Here is a 23,000-nt window from a genome sequence, read left to right as displayed (position 1 = left end):
ATTCCATATCATATAATTTAACAATGAATAATTTCTCACTCTTGTAATGAGGGATAGAGATAATACCTAAATATATGAAAATATCGCTACTTCCTTGCAGTTTCTGATATGGGGGAACTTCAAAAATAGAAACTCTGTCTTCTTGAAATTTCCCATACCAGAAACTGCAGGAATCCTTCTTGGTTTATTGCTTTGGTGTTCATGAAAAATTATGATTGTCTAAATCTCAGACTGAAATACGCTTTTGAGGAAATGGCACATACAGTTGTCATTGTGTTAGAAAAAGAGAAACTAACAGTTTAAAATTCATGAAAGATTTATTATTCAGGTTTCATATAATTTATTAGAGCATCAGTGTATGTGACTAGAATCTCTATGGATGTCTTTAAGGTACATTTCAAGAAATTGCTGATAGCATGACTAAACAAGCTATAGTTATGAGGGCCTAGACTAGGTTGGTGTCAACAGAATAGAAACAAAGAGAGAACAGGGAGAAATGTTTCCAAGGAAAAAGTAACAAGACTTTGCCTAAAAAGAAGCAGTGGTATGGGTCAGATGACTCCATGATGCCATGAAAGAATATTATATTATAGAGAAGAAATTATGTTAGATATTATACTATGTGAAGAGCAGAATATTACAAGTCATAGTAACAAATTTAAGTCCTGATTCTGTCAGACATCATGATAGTAAGCCTCAGTTTTCTCACCTGTAATGTGAGAAATACTATTGCCCCATCCAGGTCTTAGTGCAATTGTAAGGATTCAGTGAAATGCACCCACTCATTCATTTATTCATCACACACTTAGCCATTCATCCCAAGTACATTTTCTAGACTTGATATTCCAGGAATCTGCTACGTCAGTCACGGATGAAAGCTCTGTGTAAATGGTAAAATAAAGCATTATGGACAAGAACACTGTTACTGAAAGAGAAATGATTTTAAGATCCATTATCATCATGTTTCAATATGTTGAATTTAGAATTCTTATTCCTAAATAAAAACGTAACCATTGGGAAAACTTCCATTAAGGTTTCAAAAATAAGCAGCTGCTGCTTTCCTTAGGTACACGTCTTCATTTTGTAAGTGTCTGCTGAGAACTTACAGCGTACAAGACACCACACGAGGATCCATGCTCTTGCCAATGGTCTGCCCAGGCTAGTGCAGCAGTGTGCTGTTTACTGGAACCTCTTGAATTGACAACACAATCAGGAGGCCTACCAATAAAACAAATCCAGCTGATGAAAGCTAGGTTCAATCTAAAATTTGGTGGAACAGAATACATGCAAAGTCTGAATGATATAGGGTGGATGGCCGGAAATTTAAAAAAAATTTTTTTAATTGTTTTTTGAGACAGGGTCTCGCTCTGTTGCCCAGGCTGGGGTGCAGTGGCACAATCACAGCTCACTGCAGCCTTGACCTCCCGGACTCAAGAAAATCAATCCCACCTCAGCCTCCTGAGTAGCTGGGATCACAGGCATGAGCCACCTCACTGGCTAATTTTTAAATTTTTTGTAGAGACAAGGTCTCACTATGTTGCCCAGACTGGTCTCGAACTCCAGAGCTCAAGTGAGCCTCCAGCCTTGGCCTCTGAAGGTGCTGGGATTACAGGCATGAGCCACTGTGCCTGGCCTGGACAGAAATTTAAATTCTGCACCAGACCACAAACAGGAGCAAAATCCGGGGATTCAGTTAGGGTCAATGCTAGCTCTACAGATTTGGGCTTACAAAACATGAGAAGTGGCTGGAGCATGTATTTATCCGTACCAATTTACTCAAGATAGAATCAGTATATAAAGTGTAACAAGATAAAGTACAACACTGCCAAAAATAAAGATAGAATACAAGAAAAATAAAAGTGTGAAACATAAGATAAAGCCAGATTTAAGGTTAGTGGACAAAATACCTACTGTATAGTACTATACATTTTTAAAGAGGAACACAAATCTGGCTTTAAATAATCTACTTGCCAGCACAAAGAGGGAAACATAATCAGTTGCATGATTTAGAGTATTTTTAAGATCGAAAGGTTGCTTATGAAAAACATTACTATTTTTCATTTTATTTCTGTTACTGAAAATAGAGATAACATTTCTTTTTAAGTTTGTTTTTTTCTTCCTCTGAGACAAGGTCTTGCTCTGTTCTCTGGGCTGGAGTGCAGTGGTATGACTACAGCTCACTGCAGCGTCTACCTCCCATGCTCAAGTGATCCTCCTGCCTCAGCCTCTCAAGTAGCTGAAACTACAGGCATGTGCCACCACGCCCGGCTAATTTTTTTAAAATATAATTTTGTCGAGATGGGGTTTCCCTATGTTGCCCAGGCCAGTCTTGAACTCCTGGGCTCAAGCGATCCTCCCGCGGAGGCCTCCCAAAGTACTGAGACTGCAGGTGTGAGGATCTGTACCTGGCTCTTTTTAAGTCTTTGCATAAAGAACAATTGAATACCCAGGGAAATCTTTGTGACCAAGGTTCAAAATGGACACAAGGAAAAAGGACAGGGTCTAGACTTGGAGACTATAAAAGTGTTTAAGGATCTAACACAGCTGGGCAGATCCGCACAAGAACAACCAGAACAGCCACTGCAGCCTTTCACTTTAGACAAATTCACTGATACACAGATTGATAAAAAAGTTCTGGATATAATGACTTTGAGTGAGTTACAGATGGGACAATCAGACCTCACATAGTCACCAGGTTTAATGTTACTGCAACATACCTCTGAACATGTCGATTTACTCCTAGAAAACTCCAAATGGCTTTCTAGTGCCTATCAAACTTGAAATGAACTCTAAAGGTGAATGTTATATTTGGTCACAGATACCCCAAAATATATTTTTGCAAGCTCTCCCTCGTGTGTCCTCTTCGCATATTCCTTGCTCTAGCCACGCTTGCTGTAGCCACTCCATGCCTTACACCTTTCTACTTAGGCAGAGTTGCTTCTCTCTGGAAAGACATTTTCCTCCATCTTTCTATCTCCAAATCCAAATTACTTTAAGATCTAAAAAAGGTGATGCCACCTCTGTTTTCTCCAGGTAAAAATCATTGATCTTTCTTCGGAGTCACCTTATTGTATCTGTCCCTTTTTCATGGCTCTATTCGCATTCCCCTCTGTGCTAGAGTTAAGGTTGTAGGGCTCATGTCCCCTGCTCAGCTCCCTACGGGCAGGATTCACATGCGATTCACCTTTGAGCTCTATGGACCTCACAAGGGCAGACACTCAATAAATACTTGTTGAATGAATGACTATTTGTGAAGAATTCAATGAGAGAGTGTGGAAGTAGTAAAAAGTTGAGCTTGTCCATACTGCCTTTAACTATAAGGTAATTTGCAAATATGTTGTATTTCCCCAACTTAACTCTTAGATCCTGAAAGGCAAGGATTCTAACTCAAATTTTTTTGGATCTTCTGGTACTTTCACTAAGCACGTACTTCAAGGACTCCCAAAAATGTGCTGATTGATTGATGACATTTATATAATAGCACCTTGTGGGGTCATCTCATTCAAGCAAGGAACCATGCCACTCACCCCAAAGACTGGAGTTTAGGAATATTTCTTTGAAAATGTTCTGATATTTAAAATCTACCTTTAAAGATATGTGAATAATATAAAGATCATATAAAATATATAATATATAAAATGAAAGCTATAAAATAATATTTAAAAATTATTATAAATTATATTTTACCAAACACAGTATGTTTTCCTTTTATTAATATTTTAAAGCTTATGATTAGCAATGCTCTTAGATATTTTAGAAAAGGTATCAATTATTTTTTCAAAATATTCCTCTCTATCTTTCTGAAAATTAAATTCTCGGTACCATGGTTATGAGAAATTATGCATCATACCCAAACAGCGTCTTTATTAAATTTACTCTTTCTTTCCACGTGCCTTTCCTTTATCAAGGTCCCACTGCTCATATAACTTCAATGAAAGCCTAACAGTTGCATGTTTTTATTCACTATGTTGAATGAAATTAATATCAGATGTTTTTTAAAACTCACATTAATCATAGAGATTAGATAATAAAGACTGCGGTCACCCTGCTCCTCCCTTAGCTCTTCAACAGCGTCACTTAAGGCATTCTGTTCCCATGTTAGACCTGCTGGCATGGGTTAAGAACCTGGATCATGGTGTACACTGAATAAAGTATGTTGACTATTATACCAGGAAAATGCTACGAGCTATTGGATACAGGGTAGATTACAGTGTAAGCAGCTTACCGGCCCCCAGTTCCAAGCAAATGTAAGGCCTATTCATGGAACTCTGCATGGAGAAGAAGAAAAACTGCTGGTGACTTTCCCTAGATAGCAACTCTGTTATTATGAATCAGCATGGTGAGAGGCGCCATTGAGACACATGACAATGAATATGGCATATTTACTTTCCGTGGGATATTTTCTTGCATAAATTACTTAATCTCTCTGAGCCTCACTTATTTGATAGTGCTTGTTTAAAGGAGCTAAAAACACACAGTGCCTGACATAAAAGTTAAGTGCCAAGAACAGGGAAGAGACTGGGTGCACTGGCTTACACCTGTAATCCCAACACTTTGGGAGGCTGAGGTGGGCAGATCATGAGGTCAGGAGTTCGAGACCAGCCTGGCCAACATGGTGAAACCCCACCTCTACTGAATACAAAAATTAGCTGGGCGCGGTGGCACGTGCCTGTAATCCTAGCTACTTGGGAGGCTGAGGCAGGAGAATTGCATGAACCCAGGAGGCGGAGGTTGCAGTGAGCTGAGATCACGCCACTGCACTCCAGTCTGGGTAACAGAGCAAGACTCCATCTCGGGAAAACACACACACACACACACACACACACACACACACACACACACACACACCAAAACAAAAAACAGGGAAGAAATAAAGGGCAGAACATCATGAGGAAAAACAAAGTAACAGAAAAGCCTTGTCAGCAACTAATAGCACCATCACCAGAAGTGAGAACACACAAGCAAATACGCCTGGAGAGGAAATGTGTTCACTTTATTGATTTATTTAGAGACAGGTCTTGCTGTGTTGCCCAGGCTGAAGTGCAGTGGTGTGATCAGAGCTCACCACAGCTTCAGACTTCTGGGCTCAACTGGTCCTCCTGCCTCAGCTTCCTGAGTACCTGGGACAGATGTGTGCCACCATGCCCAGCTAATTTTTAAATTTTTTGTAGAGACAAAAAAGTGTTTGCTTTAACAGGTAGAAAAATTACGATCAGAAATGTCATAGGGCCAGGCTCAGTGGTTCACGCCTGTAATCCTATCACTTGGGGAGGTTGAGGCAGGAAGATTGTGTGAGTCCAGACCAGATTGAGCAACACAGCAAGACCCTGCCTCTAAAAAAAATAAAAATCAAAAATATGCAAAAAGGAAATGTCATAAGAACAGAAAACAAACTAACCTCTTGCCAGTTCTCACACAGGAAGGAATTTGATCTCATAGTCATGAAGTTCGGCCTAGTCACCTTTTCCTAGCTAGTATGGCCACAGGATCATGCCAAGAAGAAACAAAACAAAACAATGCATATCTGGGCTTATTTGCTGGCTTCTTTTTTTTTTTTTTAAGACTAAAAGCTACTGCTGGCAGCTCCCAGGCTGCCATGTGCAACTCAGCTCCAGCTCCTCCCTGGTTTACAGCCTTGGGCTGTGGTCTTCAGGGAGCAGAGTGGAAATGGACTTTGAGACAGGAAAACTGGGGAAGAAAATAATACCTGCTGTGAGATGAAAATATCTTGGTGTGAGTATATGTCTGCATTTGTATGTGTGTGCTCGGTTCATGTGGGAGGAAGTAAAAGGTGAGTGTGAGATGAGAGGAAAGGAGGAGAGTGGGCTGGCATTCGCTTTCAGCAGGTGTGCACAGTTGGAAAGGTGTCACTGCAGCGACTCCAACTGCTCTGTCCCACCCACTTCCTTCACCCTGTTCTCCTTCCCCTCCTTCCCTGGATCTCCATGTGGCCTGGCTACACACGTCCCCAGGGAACAAATACCCTAATCTGGAAGGGAGATAGAAGCTAAGGGCGGACAGCTGTGCTGCTTCAGAATACGAGTAGTTTGAGTAAAGTCAGTCATCAAAAGACAAATGGAGTCAGGAAGGGATGGAGAAAGGAAGATGGAGGGACGGAAGAAGAAAGGACAGAGAGGGACAGGCAGAAACTGGGTGGAGGTGGAGGGAGACAGACAGACAGACAGAGAGACAGAAACAGTTTTAATTTCACAAAACTGTGAGAGAATCTGAGAAGCACCGTTACACAAAACACCTCCTGGGTATTCATTCATCAGCATGTGGCTTCCTTACTCCTGAATAATAATGATAGCAAGTGGAATAAATGAAAACCCTCTGGCCTTAGCCCTCTTAAGAGCTTGCAATATGATACACATATTGTTTTATATAGCAAGGGAGTTGTCAGGTAATCTAGGTTGCCACATTGCCTAAAACAGAAAGTACACTGGACTCTCAAAGACAAAAAGAGAATGTGAAGATTTAGATTCAGTCTTTGATTATTTCTTCTAATGCTCAAAGGATGACCCTAAAGATACTAAACCAAATTCTGTCAGTTCCTTTTCAATTGTTGAACTTGACGAACATTTAAAAGAAGCCAAACATATTTATGGATGATTTGCAAAGGATGGAATTAAAGTCTTCATTTCTGTGTCCTAAAATTCGTTTTCACCTCACTTCCTGGCTATATCTTTACTTTCTCTCGTCTCAAACAAAACTTAAGTCTTCTTCAAAATTGACCTCTTTCTTAAAAACAAGTCATCAAAACAAATTGTATAAAACTTTTTGTTTTTGTATATTTTACTATCATATGATTTTTTTTTTGACACAGTCTTGCTCTGTGGCCCAGGCTGGAGTGCAGTGGCACAATCTCAGCTCACTGCAACCTCCGTCAAGTGATTCTCCTGCCTCAGCCTCCCAAGTAGTTGAGATTACAGGCGTGCGCCAACACGCCCAGTGAATTTTTTATATTTTTAGTAGAAACGGGGTTTCACCATGCTGGCCTGGTTGGTCTTGAACTCCTCACCTCAGGTGATCCACCCACCTTGGCCTCCCAAAGCGCTAGGATTACAGGTGTGGGCCACCATGCCCGGCTCCATCATGTGAATTTTAACTACAGTGGCCAGAGCCTCAGGTGGATCTTCCAAGTGTACAAGGACAAAACGAGAGTTGGTTTTTGATTTTGAAAATACCAATCTAATCCTTGGTGTAGCTTAATCTCTTATTTCATTATCGACTAACTCTGTGGCTTTCCAGAAACTGCTTCTCCTTGATTTTCTAAAGTTAGGTAACTTCAGGTAACAACACTTCCCTGATCTGGTTACATTTCAGGAGCTATTAGAAAGGTGGTATTATAATCCATTCCTTTAAAAATAAATCTGTTGCAGATGTAAAAAAAAAAAAAAAAAGAAGAAAAGAAAGGTGGTATTATAAATTCAACATTTTTATGACACTGAAAACAGTAAATTACCATTAAAATGCCTCTTTTGTCCAGAAAATCTCACACACATTGCAGACATTTAGTAGTCATTATTTCCCTCTGAAGGAAAAAAATTAGGTGGCAATAATTTTTCTTATAAATGGAGAAAATTTGAGTTAAGGAAATAGGTGCTTATACTCATATCACAAAGTCTGTGAAGCTCATCGGAAAACAAAAACAGATATTCAGGGGTTTTCTTTTCCTTTCGTTTTCCAATCCAGCCCCTCAAATATTCTATTAATAATATAACCACCTAAAATGGCATAATAAAAATTGGAAAAGAAAGACCTCATTTTACTCAGAAAATCACTTTCACATAAACCAGTTCCTGTAGTTCATTATTTTTTCTAGAATTCTCACACAAGCCCAGTGTTTCAAAGTGAGTTTTCCATTTAAATACCTCTGTAAGCCCTTGGTTAAAATACAGTACTGTGTAAAAATTTTCACCACCGTAAATATCTGTCAGATAGTTGCCTGTAAATCAAATGAAATTTCAAAATGTGTTTTGAACATTGTTATGATGCAATATAAGTAAACACTATTGTTCTTAAGACCTTCATCATCAATTGATTGTAAAACTATTTATAAAAAGACACTGAGTATGAAATGCCCTGGTGATAAATAAAAGGATACAAAAGAAAGACTTAAACTGCCTAGAAGGTATTACTCAGATGAACACAGATGAAGTGATTCACTGTACTTACTGGGTTAGTGAGAATTTGGTTTAGTATCTTTAGGGTCATGCTTTGAGGATTAGAAGAAATAATCAAAGTCTGAATCTAAATCTTCACGTTCTCTCTCTCTTTCTCTCTCTTTTTTTAGATTCTACTGTACTTTCTATTTCAGACAATGCGGCAACCTAGATTACCTAACTGCCAACTTCCTTGCTATATAAAACACCTAGAATTGTTGGGTTAAATATACTACCTTTTGGATGAATTCATTTAGCATCTCTTGAGTGTTTACTTTATGCCAGGCTCTGTTCTAGGCACTGAAGTTATATCCATGAACAAAAAGCCAACAATCTCAGCCTGCCTGTGGAACTTACACTTTGGGTTAATTGACTGAATTGGAAAGAAAGAATAAGCCAAAAGCAGAGGGAAGAGAAAAAACGTAAAGTGCAGGTAAGCTGGCATAGCTTTCCTGAGGAGGTCTGCCAGTTTCTGTAATCTTTTTCTTTTTTCTGGTTTTTTGTTTTTTTTTTTCTTTTGAGACGGAGTCTCGCTCTGTCTCCAGGCTGGAGTGCAGTGGTGCAATCTCAGCTGACTGCAACCTCCGCCTCTGAGGTTCAAGTGATTCTCCTGCCCCCCGAGTAGTTGGGAATACAAGTGTGCACCACCACGCCCAGCTAAGTTTTGTATTTTTAGAGATGGGGTTTCACCATGTTGGCCAGGATGGTCTTGATCTCTTCATCTCGTGATCCACCTGCCTCAGCCCCCCAAAGTGTTGGGATTATAGGCGTGAGCCATTGCACTTGGCCCACCTTTTTCTTTTTCTTTTTTTTTTTTTTTTTTTTTTTGAGACAGGGTCTCGCTCTATTGCTGGGCATGTGCCACCAAACCTGGATAATTTTTGTATTGTTTGTAGACACAGGTTTTCACTATGTTGCCCAGGCTGATCTAGAACTCCCGGGCTCAAGTGTTCCTCCCACCTCAGCCTCCAAAAGTGCTGGGGTTACAGGCGTGAATCAACATGCCCAGCCCTCTGTAACCTTTTTAATGAACAAGGAGAAGACTAGGTAGGTCTCAACTGTTACTGAGACTCCTAGATAACGCCTGGACCCTTGAAGTGTCACGCCCTCATTCAAAGAGGAAACTTTAAAAATTTTCTCACTGCAAAGGGAACAATAAGAAATCTCCTATGTTGTCTTAAACAACTTGTTTTTTCCTGATAGGAAAATTTTACCCACTAGCCTGGGCCTCCCTGGGATTGGAATATTAGATTGAAACTTAAACTATCATTATGGTTCTGGAACCCCAAGCCAAGAAATTAATATTAAAAGTGGTCTTGGGTCAGCAATGCTTCTGCCTGAGGCACCCGGCAGAAGCAAATCAAACGTTTTTTGTTTTTGTTTTTGTTTGAGACAGAGTCTTGCTTGGTTGCCCAGGCTGGCGTGCAGCGGTGCGATCTCGGCTCACTGAAACCTCCTTCTGCCTCCCGGGTACAAGCGATTCTCCTGCCTCAGCCTCCCAAGTAGCTGTGATTACAGGCGCACACCACCAAGCCCAGCTAATTTTTTGTATTTTTAGTAGAGATGGGGTTTCACCATGTTGGCCAGGCTGGTCTCAAATTCCTGACCTCAAGTGATCTGCCCACCTCGGCCTCCCAAAGTGCTGGGATTACAGGCGTGAGCCACTGCGCCCGGCCGCAAACCGTTTTTAAAAGAATATACTCTCAAACCAAGTCACAAAGGATTTCTAAGACCGAACCTTGCTTTCAGTGAGTTCACAAACTACAAAATTTAAGAGGAAACAATCTACCTTCAGCTACAGTCTACAGACAAAACAAAAAGCAGCAATTTGTCTTCCCCAAACTTGGGGTAAGTGTATCTGTCAGATAAAATTGTAAGCATGTTCAGAATGATTAAGGACCAAAAAAAAAAAAAAAAAAATTAAAAACCTAAGAATTAGACACTATGAAAAAATAAGAGGCGATTTTGACAAAAGTAGAATGTCTGTACATAGGAAAAATGTAGTCATTGAAATTAAAATCTCATTGGATTGTTTAAATGGTATAGTAGACACAATTATAGAGAGTACCATTAAACTGGAAAACAGATCTGAGAAAATCATTCAGATAGTACCAGAAAGATAAAGAGTGCTTACATATATACGAGTACTTCAAAGAAAAAAAAATAGAAAAGCTCAATATACATCCAGTAGGAGTTCTAGAAGGCAAGAATAGAGCTTTCTTTAGAGCTCCTAAAACAGCTTTCTCCAAAGCTCCTAATACCATGCTTATGATTGTGAAATTAAACAGAATATATATTTATTCATGTCTTTCTCATTTAGTATGAATGGTCTCTGCTATTCTCTTCTTGTTACTGGATAGCAGAATTTCTGGTTATCTTCTATTTAAAAAGCAACTTATCTTGAGTGGCAGTAACTTCTCTTCAAAGATATTGTTCTGGCTTCAATGGTTGCTGCTCCAAAGTGTGCAGTTAATCTAAATGTCAAGCACTCTGAACTATTTCAGTGGGTGAAAACAAGTGTACATGGCTATCTTTTGATAGTTAAAGTAGTTTATCTTGTCAACCATAATGCCTCAGACACATTTTTCCTATGAAATTCTTAGTTTTGCATAATCATTTCTAACAGAAACATACATAAACATATCTTTTATACATGCATAAAAAACTGGATAAAAATACCTTTAAAATGTCTCAGTGTATGTTTCAGGATATTCTTCTACCCATTTTAAAATATTTTACCTGAGAGAGTAAGCAAAAAAGGAAGAAGCTGTCCCAATCTTGACAATAAAGAACTGACATAAATCAATCAACGCTTTTCTCTCCCCTTATTACCTTATTATGAGCATTTCGTTTTAGTGAAATTAAATTTTATTGACTTTAAATGGAGTATATATGATATGATATAAATAAAACACATTTGTAATATAGATAAGGACAGGGTGGAAGGCAAATAAAGCTACATTATTGTGACTTATAAAGTGTGGCTTATAAAGAGTAAGGAAAGCAAATCACATAGTTCAAACAATGCAGAATTTGCTATGCTTTTCAGATAACATATCACAAATAAAATGTCTGGTATAGAAGAGTACTACAAAAGGAAACAGGAGACACAGGACTGAGCACTTACTCTAACTAAACCTAACTATATAAATCAATTAACTTCTGAGGGGAGAGCAGGATTGGAGTCATGCAATGAAGTCTGAAGTTTTTCAATTTTAAAATTCCCTTTATTTTAGGTAATACATTATAAAATCTTAAAATATATTAGCTTATGTTATGGGTATTTGAAATTTAAAGTAATTAAAAACCATATCATACCATCTTAAGTTATACATATAAAACATTTAAGGGATTGATAGTACAAAAAATTTTACTTCAAGTATTATGAAAACTTCACTGTATTAACTCAAGTCATAAAATACCCTACCATACTATCTTATATTAAAGACATTAAAAATAATACCTTTATTTTAAAAATAAACTCATCCATATTATCTTGTATTATAACTATTAACATCTTAAGGTACATATAATGAAAATCACTTTATATCCAACTTAAATTTATTTCAGATTTTAATGTAAAAAATTTTTAAACAAATTGTAAAAATAACTATGTAAAAGGCTAGGATGCATCTTTCAAGCTTAAAAGAAAACCAGGCCAGGTGTAGTGGCCCGTATCAGTAATCCCAGAACTTTGGCAGGCCGAGGTGGGCAGATCACTTGAGACCACGATTTCAAGACCAGCCTGGGCAACATGACAAAATCCATCTCTACAAAGAACATTTTTTTGAGGCGAAGTCTCACTCTGTTGCCAGGCTGAAGTGCAGTGGTGCGATCTTGGCTCACTGCGACCTCTGTCTCCCGGGTTCAAGCAATTCTCTTGCCTCAGCCTCCCCAGTAGCTGGAACTATTTTTGTATTTTTAGTACAAAAATTTTTGTATTTTTAGCCCAGCCAATTTTTGTATTTTTAGTAGAGATGGGGTTTCACCATGTTGGTCTTGAACTCCTGACCTCAGGTGATCCGCCTGCCTCAGCCTCCCAAAGTGCTGGGATTACAGGTGTCAGCCACTGCACCTGGCCATCTACAAAAAAATGTGAAAATTAATGGGGCCATGGTGGTATGTGCCTGTAGTTCCAACTATTAATACTTGGGAGGCTGAGATGGGAGGATCACTTGAGCCTAGGAGGTTGAGGCTACGGTGAGCCATGATCATGCCACTGTGCTTCAGCCTGGGCAACAGAGTGAGACTGTGTCTCTTAAAAAAAAATTTTAAAAGAAAACTGATCTGTTTTATAAAAGTTATGAAGACAATTATAATACATTTTAAAAATTATTTTTAGCAAAAAGATTCAGTCTGCTTTGAGCTTTTTTTCTGATTCTTCTTTCTTAAATATTTCAGCAACTATAGGAAAAACAAATAATTGAAGAGCACACAGATAAAGTTCCCAATGACGCTACTGATCTTGCTTCTCAAAAATATATTAATTTTGCAGTTATTTTTTTCTAGCATATTATTTGATATGTTATTTCTTACCTGTAGTTTATTGAGTCCCTACTGTCTTTTAATGTTTTACATCAAAGTCAAATCAAATATTCATTTAAGTGTCCTTCCAGTCATAGTATGACATCTAGGCAGAGATATGTATTATCATGAACATGAAATATGTAGATGCAATGAACTTCAATGGAACCCAGCGTATCCTTTCTATTCTTGGCACGTGCAATGAGAGTGATCTGTTAAGTGGAAACCATGTAATGATCATTCTTGATTAAAAGGAAAATAGAATCATAGATGAAGCTACCATAGACGTGTATTTGCTGAATTCCCTTCTCTGTCATTAACAATTTGGGGGTATGTTTTTTGTGTGTATACAACACTAAAAGCCTCTTCCCAATATATGCTTTTATGCTGCTTTGACTGAGCACCTATGAAAGGCAGGATGGTACACTGAAAAGAATACTGAATATGGGAGACATGAGGGCCAACATCGAAGTAAGATCACGTATATGACAATGCCCCGTGAATGGCAAGTACTATAAATGTAAGGTCCTATAATTGTTTGGGAAATTAATAATCTGTATTTTCTAAGGCTTTTTTGTGCCTCTAAGAGAGAGGGTCTTGCTGTGTTGCCCAGGCTGGAGTACAGTACTGTGATCATAGCTCACTGCAACCTCGAACTCTTGGGCTCAAGGAATCCTCCCACCTCACCATCCTGAGTAGCGGGTACTACAGGCATGCAGCACCATCCTCAGCTAATTTGTTAAAATGCTTTGTAGAGGTGGGGGTCTTGCTATATTGCCCCACATGGTCCCACATTTGTGGTCTCAAGTGATCCTCCCACCTTGGCCTCCCAAAGCACTGGGATTACAGGCGTGAGCCACTGTGCCCAGCCGGTTGTGCCTTTTAAAATAGTAGTAAACATGATATATTGAGATTGGAAGCCTGCATCTTTCTTCAAGATGCTCACTGCCACTAGGAACCTTCCTCTCAACATAAAGGTTCAAAAAGAAGCAGTAACTAAGATAGTCTTTCATGGATCTTATGAGCTTTCATTTCATGAGTCTACACATAGTTTGGTGCCAGTTTGTTAAAATTGTCCATAGAAGAGATGAATAAGCACTGGATATATCATGAAGAGAATAGAGATGTGACGTACTGGTCTGCTCAAGCTTCCGTAACAAAATGCCATAGACTGGGTGGCTTAAATAATAGACATGATTTTCTCACAGTTCTAGAGACCAGAAGTCACAGATCAAGGTCTGGCAGGGTCGGTTGGTTTCTGGTGACAGTTCTCTTCCTGGCTTGCAGATGGCTGTTTTCTTGCTGAGGCGAGGCAGACAGCAGGGGAGCAATGCAGGAGAGCAAAGCCCTCTGGTGTCTCTTCTTATAAGGATGCTAATGCGGCAGGATCAGGGCTACACCCTGATGACCTCGTTTAACCTTAATTACTTCCTTAGAGGCCCTAGCTCCAATAGTCACATAGGGGATTACAGCGTCAACATTTGAATTTTGGGGGACACAAACATTTAGCCCATAACATCTGGTTTCCTGTCCCAAATGGGACAGTTTAAGCTCCCTGTCCCAAACTTAGTAACTATATCATCAATTTCCTATTGTAAATACTCCAATTCCTCACCTGTAAAATGGGGTAATAATCAATCTTAAAAGGAAATGTTGTGAGAATTAAAGGAGATAATGTATATTAAAGTATTTTTATAAACTGTGAAGTGTTATTTTAGTGGAAGGAGTTAATTTCCAGGCTTTTCTTAATTATTCAAACAAAGTAATAAATGTTTTTGCCGTATTTCTTTTAGGAAAAAAAGATGTTTACATGTTAGTATATCCATAAGATAATTTCTTTCTATGGGGAGGTCTTTACAAGCATTCTGTTTTCATTTCTAAATTTATAAAGGCAAATATACAGCTGGGCACGGTGGCTCACGCCTGTAATCCCTGCACTTTGGGAGGCCGAGGTGGGTGGATTGCCTGAGGTCAGGAGATCGAGACCGGCCTGAACAGCATGAAGAAACCCTGTCTCTACTAAAAATACAAAAAAATTAGCCAGGCATGGTGGCAGGCGCCTGTAATCCCAGGTGCTTGGGAGGCTGAGGCAGGAGAGTCACTTGAACCAGGGAAGTGGAGGTTGCAGTGAGCCGAGATGGCACCACTGCACTCCAGCCTGGGCGACAGAATAATACTCCGTCTCAAAAAAAGAAAAAAAGGCAAAGAAACACCTAATTATGTTTCCAAAATATCTATTAATATCATTTATTTAAAGTATTTGCTTAAGACAAATCGCTGGCATAAAAGATGGAAAAATGTACATTATTACAGAAATAATTCCCTGTGTATGCAGAGTGTATTGACTAAAATTTGCTTCAACTCTGTGTACTGAACTCATACTTTTAAATACTGATTTTGCAGTCTCTGCATTTAAAGCAACACACTAGAAAATCATGCTCCCACCAAAAACATGTAAAAATGTAAAGATGAAGAAAACAACTTTATGTTTTATGGCATTTACTTCAAAAATCTGATTAAGATAGATGTCTTTAGCTCATAATTCTTCAATGTCATGTTGTCATAGTTCCCATCAGCAAGATGTTTTAAAGGCTTTCGATTAATATTGCATGCCAGAACTGAAATTACATCCTTTGTCGTTTAGCTCTTAATGGTGCAAGTGATATCTATCAAGTACTGTTTTATGAAGTGTGTGTGATTTTTATTGCAGGCTGTTTTCACAAATCTTTTTCAGGTTTCAGAAAGGCGGCTTAGGGTTTAAAACAAATAAGCCCTTCTGTTGAAAATCTTGATGATTCTTAAAACTGCAGTAAAACTTATATTACTATTTATCAATAAAAAATCATCTATTTGGAATCTGTTGCATTCACATTTGCACACTGTCTTGAATATATTTGCTTTAACCCATATTTTAGTAAAACACAGTATTATAATTTATGCAAAATAAGTGCCAAAGACACATAGCTCACAAAGCTTTCATTAGCAAGCATGTACATTATCTGCCTAGTAAGGAAAATATATCTGTAGAAAACACATGCTAACAATTAAATGATAACTGGGTTTGTATTGCCAAAATGTATATTTTATTTTTAAAATATAATTACTAATTTACTTTTAAGAGGAATCTAGTGTTCTGACATTAATTTTAAAAACTTCAAAAATTAAACACTTCAAATACAAGTCATTTTCATATATCAAAGATCTAGAATTAAAAATAGAATCTTACTTATATAAAAATTAGGGAGATATAAATGAAAAGAAGACGATTCTTATATTTGATATTTTTACTTTGAACACAAACTAACATATTTAGGTACTGGCTTTATCACTAACATATTTTACTCTTCTAGTCTTGGTTCCTTTCATCTGTAATATTAGGGGAGTAGATTATGATTTCTAATGTCTTTCTTTCCAGTTTTTAAAAGAATTCCCTAAATCTCTCTATATAATATTTTACCTAAAATACACACACACACACACACACACACACACACACACACACACACACAGAGGTTTAAGCTTCAGTTGCTAACTCTATGTCTTGAATGCTGTCATGCTTTATCAGTTTGCATTTTACAAAATATAAATCTAGACAAGATAAAATAACTGATTTAAAACATTGTAAAGGACAATGGCAAGGGGCTTATTCTGGGATGTGTCTCCCTCGGGCCAGATCTCCACAGCTGATGTAAGATAAAGCTGGCTACAGCTCTCCTGAGTTAGCTGTGGTCTTTAGGGATCTCACAGACATTTGGCTTTTGCCAACTATATGTCGATTACGAAGGAGAATAAAAATATTAACATTAAGATCGACATTCTTATCCAGCTTTGCCCTGCACATTCATCTTGTTTGGATAACTGCACATTTAAAATTAGAGGCTACTTATCTGCTCCTAGACATTAGGGGATACTGCACAGGGAAAAGAGTCTCCACATTCTAATTCCCCAAGGCAAATCGCTGCGATTCTCATTACTTCTGTAAGGAAGAGCTTGCCTTTCCTTCAATGTTTATGTGAATTTTTTCTTGTTGTATGTGGTTCACTGAAGGAATGGCAATAGTTCATTTTAAAAACATTCTCTCCATTAGCTAGAATCGATTTTTAAAGCATTCTAACACGTCCATATCGAGTCTAAAACAATTCCTTTAATCCCTGACACTAAAAAATACTGTTTGCTACTTTTTTAAAAAAAGGACTTATATAGTTCTCCTCTATTTTATATGTTTTTTTTTGTTTTGTTGGTTATAAGTAATTTAATTACTTAGTAACTTCAAAAAAGACTTACTAAAAATCTAGGTTCAACGTAACTATATGGATTCTACACACATAGGCCGGTGGAATACACAACAGAAATTTATACTCATGAAAGCTTATTAAGCTGATTACGCAATAGGCTTAACATGCACTATCCTGTTTAATCTCATAGCTACCTTAAGCTGTAGGTACGTATTCCTGTTTCACAAGTGGGAAAAAATGTACAGAGAAATCAAGAAATCTGGCAATGGTCACAGAGTATGACCCCAAAGCTCTCCATACTAATTTATACAGGAATAATTATTTTTGTCATTTTTGTTCCAGGCATGTTGTCAAGAAGGAAATGAAGAGGAAGTATTCGTATTAAGGCAGTACCGTAGAAATTCAATTTTAAATGGAAGAATGCTTGCTTTACTTTGAGCTGGAGGTCAGAGTGCTATCCAGCAAAGGCCAGTGTGGAGACCCCAGTCCAGCCGTGATAGCAGAAGCATTCTTCCGTTACAGGGAAACTACACTGCATATTAAATAGGGGAACAGAGATGAAAAAATAATTTGAATGTTAGTTTCCAGTTTTATAATTAACACTTTTTAGTATGTGGGCGGTCTTTTGTCTCATTTTTAAATTCTCTATTTGAGCTTTTGATTTTCCTCCCTCTTATGCTAAGAAACAAAAATATATGTGAGGTTAAAAAAATCTCTAAAAGCAATGACTTAAAAAATGACAAGACTCTAGATATCATTCCTTTTCTTCTTGGCCTTATAGTACATCTCAGTGTTGGCAGATTACTAATTAATATATTTTGCATTAAGATATTTTTCCTAATATTCTTTTTTCTTTTTTATTTTTCTTTTTGAGAGGGAGTCTCGCTCTGTCGCCCAGGCTGGAGTGTAATGGCGCAATCTTGGCTCACTGCAACCTCCGCCTCCTGGGTTCAAGAGATTCTCCCGCCTCAGCCTCCTGAATAGCTGGGATTATAGGCACTCACCATCATGCCTGCCTAATTATTGTGTTTTTGTAGGGATGGGTTTTCACCATGTTGGCCAGGATGGTCTTGAACTCCTGACCTCAGGTGATCCGCCCTCCTCGGCCTCCCAAAGTGCTGGGATTACAGGCGTGAGTCACTGCACCCGGCCTATTTTTCCTAATATTCTTAAGGGATTATTAGAGTTATTAAATTAAACAGTACTACAAAGTACAGTCCCATAGGCTCAGCTTTGATTATTTCCACAATTTACTATCAAATATTTGAGACAGCATTATTAAAAGTCAATGGACTTCTGGTTTATAAAGAACCGGTAACTCTTTAATTTCTTACTTTGATCATACACACCACTGCCATGTTTATACTTTTGTGAGGTCATCAAAATAAAGTCAAACAATTTCATGTTATATTAAAAACAATATAATATCTGCTTCCTTTGTGATTTCTTCTTATTTATTATGTAAAAAGAAAAACCTGGGTAATTTAAATTCTTTTAACCTTACACATGTTCTAGAGTACTGGAAAAAATTAAAAGTACAATTTACATTAACATGTTCAATAATCTGCTTTTTGTATGACAATAAAATTAGAGGTAGCACACCTTAAATATATAATTTTACTTAAAAATATTCACCATAATCAAGTGACAGTTGTACTTAAATGATTATTTGAGCAAGATAATTAGTATTCTTAGAATATTTTCTAACTTTCAAACAATGGATATTGTTGAAATCCAAGTTATACACAACACATTACTGCACACATAAAAATGACAAGTGATCGTAGAATAATCTCAGAAACATTCTTTAAATTCAAAATGTACCACACATAATTTGCAATCAAAGTTGACCCATCAGGGTTAGCAGTAAATGTTCTGCCCTGGCACTGAGTTGAAACAGGTAAGTTCATCAAAGGGGCTATGATACCTGCCATGCCTTCCTTCATGCTTGTTGCTCACAGAGACTAGCATAATGAAAACACTTTCTGATTTCAAGGCAAGTCAGAAATATGAAGATTTATAACCTGGCAGATCTAATGGAGCTGTCAAAAAGGGAAGTTACACTCACAGTGAAATGGTCACATCATGATCTAGTTTTCATCCTGATTGAAAAAAAAAATCTTTGTGAAGAACCCTACAAATGTTTTTGGTAAAAGAGATTCACAATAAAAGAAGAAGAAAAATAAAAATAGAGCGATGAAGAGGTATTTTTTCAAAACATGAGAGCCGAAGTCGGAGATAATGTCGTACATGAGACAGTGAATTTAGGAGAGTGCCCCCCTCTAAGTGCATTATTCCCCTTTCATTTAGAATACAGAAAAGAGTCAGAGGAAGACAAAAGAAAAGGAAAGAACCAAACTTCCAAAATAGCATTACACTACATTATTAATAGCGTCACACTAAGAGAAATGACAGCTCTCAAAAGAGTACTTTTGTCTCCACTTACTTTAATTAAACTCCCTAGACTACAAAGTGAATCTCAATCTCTTTTTTAAACATAAAAAAATCAAAGCTGATTAAGATGTGATTTCTGTCCTCTAATGGTCCTCACCCTTAGTTATATACTATTTAAAACAACAGAAACAGCAGCAGCAGCAGCAACGGACCTCAACATCCTGCAAATTTTCTCAAAAGGACCAAAATGTCATACTCTGCTCCTCTGCCTTCTCACAGATAAATTAGTTTCCAGTGTGTCCCTCCCTCTGTAGCCAGCACTAAACCTCATTTAAACTTCAAATGAGAATTATAGCACAATTATACTAGTATGAATGTTTCAATTAATGTAACTTTCCTTATACCAGAGTCCTGTAACAACTTTGCTTTAAAATAAGCTGATGAGATTTTAAAGGTTCACTGCAAAATATGATCCCTGAAAATTAATCCATATTGGCGGAAAAAAAGAGAAGTTTTCAAATTTGTGGAAATAATTTCAAAAATCCATTACAGCCAATGTAATGTCATTACTCTTCTACTAAAAAATCTTAAAGGAAAACATATTTCTCTCTTCCCTATGTGCACTGTCCATCTGTCCCAAACTAAATGTATCATCCTCGTTTTATACTCTCTGCCCAATCCAAGATCTCCTCCTCTTTCTCAACTATTTCACCTTTCCACTGAAATCCCCATTTTCTACTCAAAAGTTTGGTGACATTTTGACTCTTGCTCTTTGATTCTTTGATCCAAATCAACAATTTTCTTGTTAGCTTATTCAAAATGTTATTTGGTTATGTTCTTTCCTCTGTTTTCCCATTGCATTATCCTACCTAGACCCTTCCCTACCTCTCATTTATTAAATAAATCACTCTCTGCTGACTAGATATGTGCTCTGAGGAAATAGAATGCTGCTCTCTCTGCCTACTGACTTTCTCTACTCCAATATATTCTGTTTAAAACCAACATGGCATTTTCAAAACTTTGTTTTTTGTCTAGAACCAACAATGGTTCACCGCTGCGAAGCCACAAGTCCTAACTGTATTTATCCATAATGTTAAGTACCGTGGAGATACAGAAGAAGGCAGGTGTATTGGCCTAAAGGGGCTTATTCCCTAATTGAGGAGATGGGACTTCCATTCCTGAGACAGCGAGAACACAAATCTCAGGCAGGTGCAAAATAATAAACTACATGAAGAAGGTGAACAAGGAAACATTTGCTTTGTGCCGGGGTTGGTTTCGAAGGCTTAAAGTGTAGACTAACATTTAGCTAAACCTTGAAGAGAAGCACAGTTAGCAAAGTCAAAGCAGGAAGACTGGAGATTTCCAAACAACACTGGTTTGGAAAGCAACTTAAGAGAGAGTTCTGGATAGATAAAGTGGGGCCAACCAACCACTTTCACCTCCAAGTGGAAGAATCTGTACCTGATTTGGTAGGCCACACAGAGGTTCCTGGGAAGAAATTTATTATGAGAAAAGAAGTCAGAGGGAGATTAACCTGAGTGCTCTTCCAGAGTACAAGGGCCATGTGACAGCAATCAGGCTGTGAAGTGATGACTATTTTCTTAAGGGCCATGTGACAGCAATCAGGCTGTGAAGTGATGACTATTTTCTTAAGAATGTGAGCTGAGAGACTCATGTAGTATTGGTTGATTCATTCATTCCACAGATATTCACTCAAGCACCTATCACAGCACCTATCAAGCACCTATCACAGCTAAAAACAAACATAAAAACCTCTGCCCTTGTAGAGCTTACATTGTAGCAAGTGGAGGGGAAGAAGGGGAGAACAATATGCAGGAAACATAATAAATTAGTAAATGAAAGGGAAGGTGATATTGACAGAATACAAGGCAGGGTAGGCGATTAGAACTGCTGGAGAAGGAATCAAAATTTTAAATTGGGGCTGGGGTGGTGGCTCACGCCTGTAATCCCAGCACTTTGGGAGGCCTAAGTGCGCGGATCACGAGGTCAGAAGTTTGAGACCAGCCTGGCCAATATGGTGAAACCCCGTCTCTACTAAAAATACAAAAATTAGCTGGGCGTGGTGGTGGGTGCCTGCAATCCCAGCTACTTGGGAGGCTGATGCAGGAGAATTGCTTGAACCTGGGAGGTGGAGCTTGCAGTGAGTGGAGATTGCGCCATTGCACTCCAGCCTGGGCAACACAGCAAGACTCCAACTCAAAAAAAAAAAAATTAAATTGGGTCATCAGAATAGCATTTACTGAAAATATGACATTTAAGCAAAAACTTAAAAATAAAAATGGGAATCCTCCTCAGGAGGGAAGGCAATAAATTAGATTTCAGAGGTGATAATGGTTTAGAAATGTTTACATGTTAGGATATTTATGTGTACCATCTCCTAAGTTTCTGAGTACTTGAGGAATCATAAAGATAGTTAATACTGGATAAATAAGTACTATTACCTATGTGCATGAAAACCATAGATATTCACGCTAATAAAAATAGATTCCCCAAATTTATTTTTCTTCCAGATTCCCTGGATTCCTAGGTTGTTAATAGAGCGCGTGCATTTAACTGTGAATGACTCCACTGCTATTTCTGAAATAACCACTGCAGTCTCCTGTGTAACGGTTTCTTACTTGATGATTAGGAATTTCCTTTAGACATTCATTTCTTCAATATAGCAATACTGCAGATGGCAGAGTCCTCATTTAAACTCTTAATACCTTTAGAAATGCCTCGTGGGCTGATATCCAATCTGATTCCAAGGAGTAAGACACAATTCTTGCCTTCATTTATTCATTCACTGTTTCCCTCATTAATTTATACAACACACCTACATAGAATACCTACTGTACTTCAGGTACTTTCAAAGTCCTAGGAATTCCAGTATGAGTCAAACAGATACTTTCCTGCTTTTTTAAAGCTTTCCTCCCTACTACACTATATTTATTGCCTCCTCGCTTTTGAGCATACAGATATACAGAGAGATGAAGTATTATCTGGTAAATAATCTAAGAGATGAAATATGCTGGGTTCCGAAAGCTTCTCAGAAGGTTTTTCCGATAAGCTAATGCTTTAGTTGCTGTGAAGAATGCATATTCCAAACAGAGAAGCCTTCAGGACGACCGAAAGAGGCTAAGGCATGACAGTGAGAGGGAGCACGAAGCTGCCGTGGTTCAGACTGGCTAGAACACAGAGGGTGTGGGTGGGGCTGGGACAGGGTAGGAGAACTCGCAAGAGGCAGGAAAGGAAGCCTGGAAGACAGGTGGAATAAAGATTTTCATGGGCCTTGCCTTGTTCCGCTTCGGCATTTGCATATTATCCTATTAGCCAAAGAGAGCTGTGGAATGGTTTTAAGCAAATACATGATAAGGTCAGAGACACATTTTATGACGACTACCCTAACAGCAGTGTGGAGGCTGTGTGTATGTGGGTGTGTGTTGCCTTTGGTAGGTGCTGGGTGATGAGAGTTAGTAGAGATTTATAGTATTGTATTGAGTGTATAAACGAAAGCCCTGGCAATGCAGATAAACATGCAGGGCCAGATTCAAGAGATAATTAAGAGGCAGAATAAATTGATTAGCTTTAGCAACACACTAAATGAAGCATTGGGTAAAAAAGAGGGTCAACCATATAATTTCCAAAGTATTTAAGAAGTATCTTTCATCTTTTAAAATTA

General features: G+C 38.0%; 1 protein-coding gene across 31 annotated transcripts in view, besides 2 other annotated features; it reads right to left on the bottom strand.

Moving 5' to 3' along the window:
• TENM3 (teneurin transmembrane protein 3) overlaps positions 1 to 23,000 on the bottom strand; it is a 1,355,412-nt gene that overhangs the window by 203,493 nt on the left and 1,128,919 nt on the right. The window lies entirely within an intron of this gene.
• Positions 5,326 to 5,826: an enhancer, noted in NCBI's record as "H3K4me1 hESC enhancer chr4:183514859-183515359 (GRCh37/hg19 assembly coordinates)". NCBI's record gives its function as "activates a minimal SCP1, AML or CMV promoter by ChIP-STARR-seq in primed H9 embryonic stem cells {active_cell/tissue: H9 hESC(primed)}" and the evidence as "EXISTENCE:reporter gene assay evidence [ECO:0000049][PMID:30033119]".
• Positions 13,765 to 14,321: an enhancer, noted in NCBI's record as "OCT4-NANOG hESC enhancer chr4:183506364-183506920 (GRCh37/hg19 assembly coordinates)". NCBI's record gives its function as "activates a minimal SCP1, AML or CMV promoter by ChIP-STARR-seq in naive H9 embryonic stem cells {active_cell/tissue: H9 hESC(naive)}" and the evidence as "EXISTENCE:reporter gene assay evidence [ECO:0000049][PMID:30033119]".

Source organism: Homo sapiens, chromosome 4 (genome assembly GCF_000001405.40).
Source record: "Homo sapiens chromosome 4, GRCh38.p14 Primary Assembly".
Lineage (NCBI taxonomy): Eukaryota > Metazoa > Chordata > Mammalia > Primates > Hominidae > Homo > Homo sapiens.
This window is presented reverse-complemented; position numbering and strand designations above follow the sequence as displayed.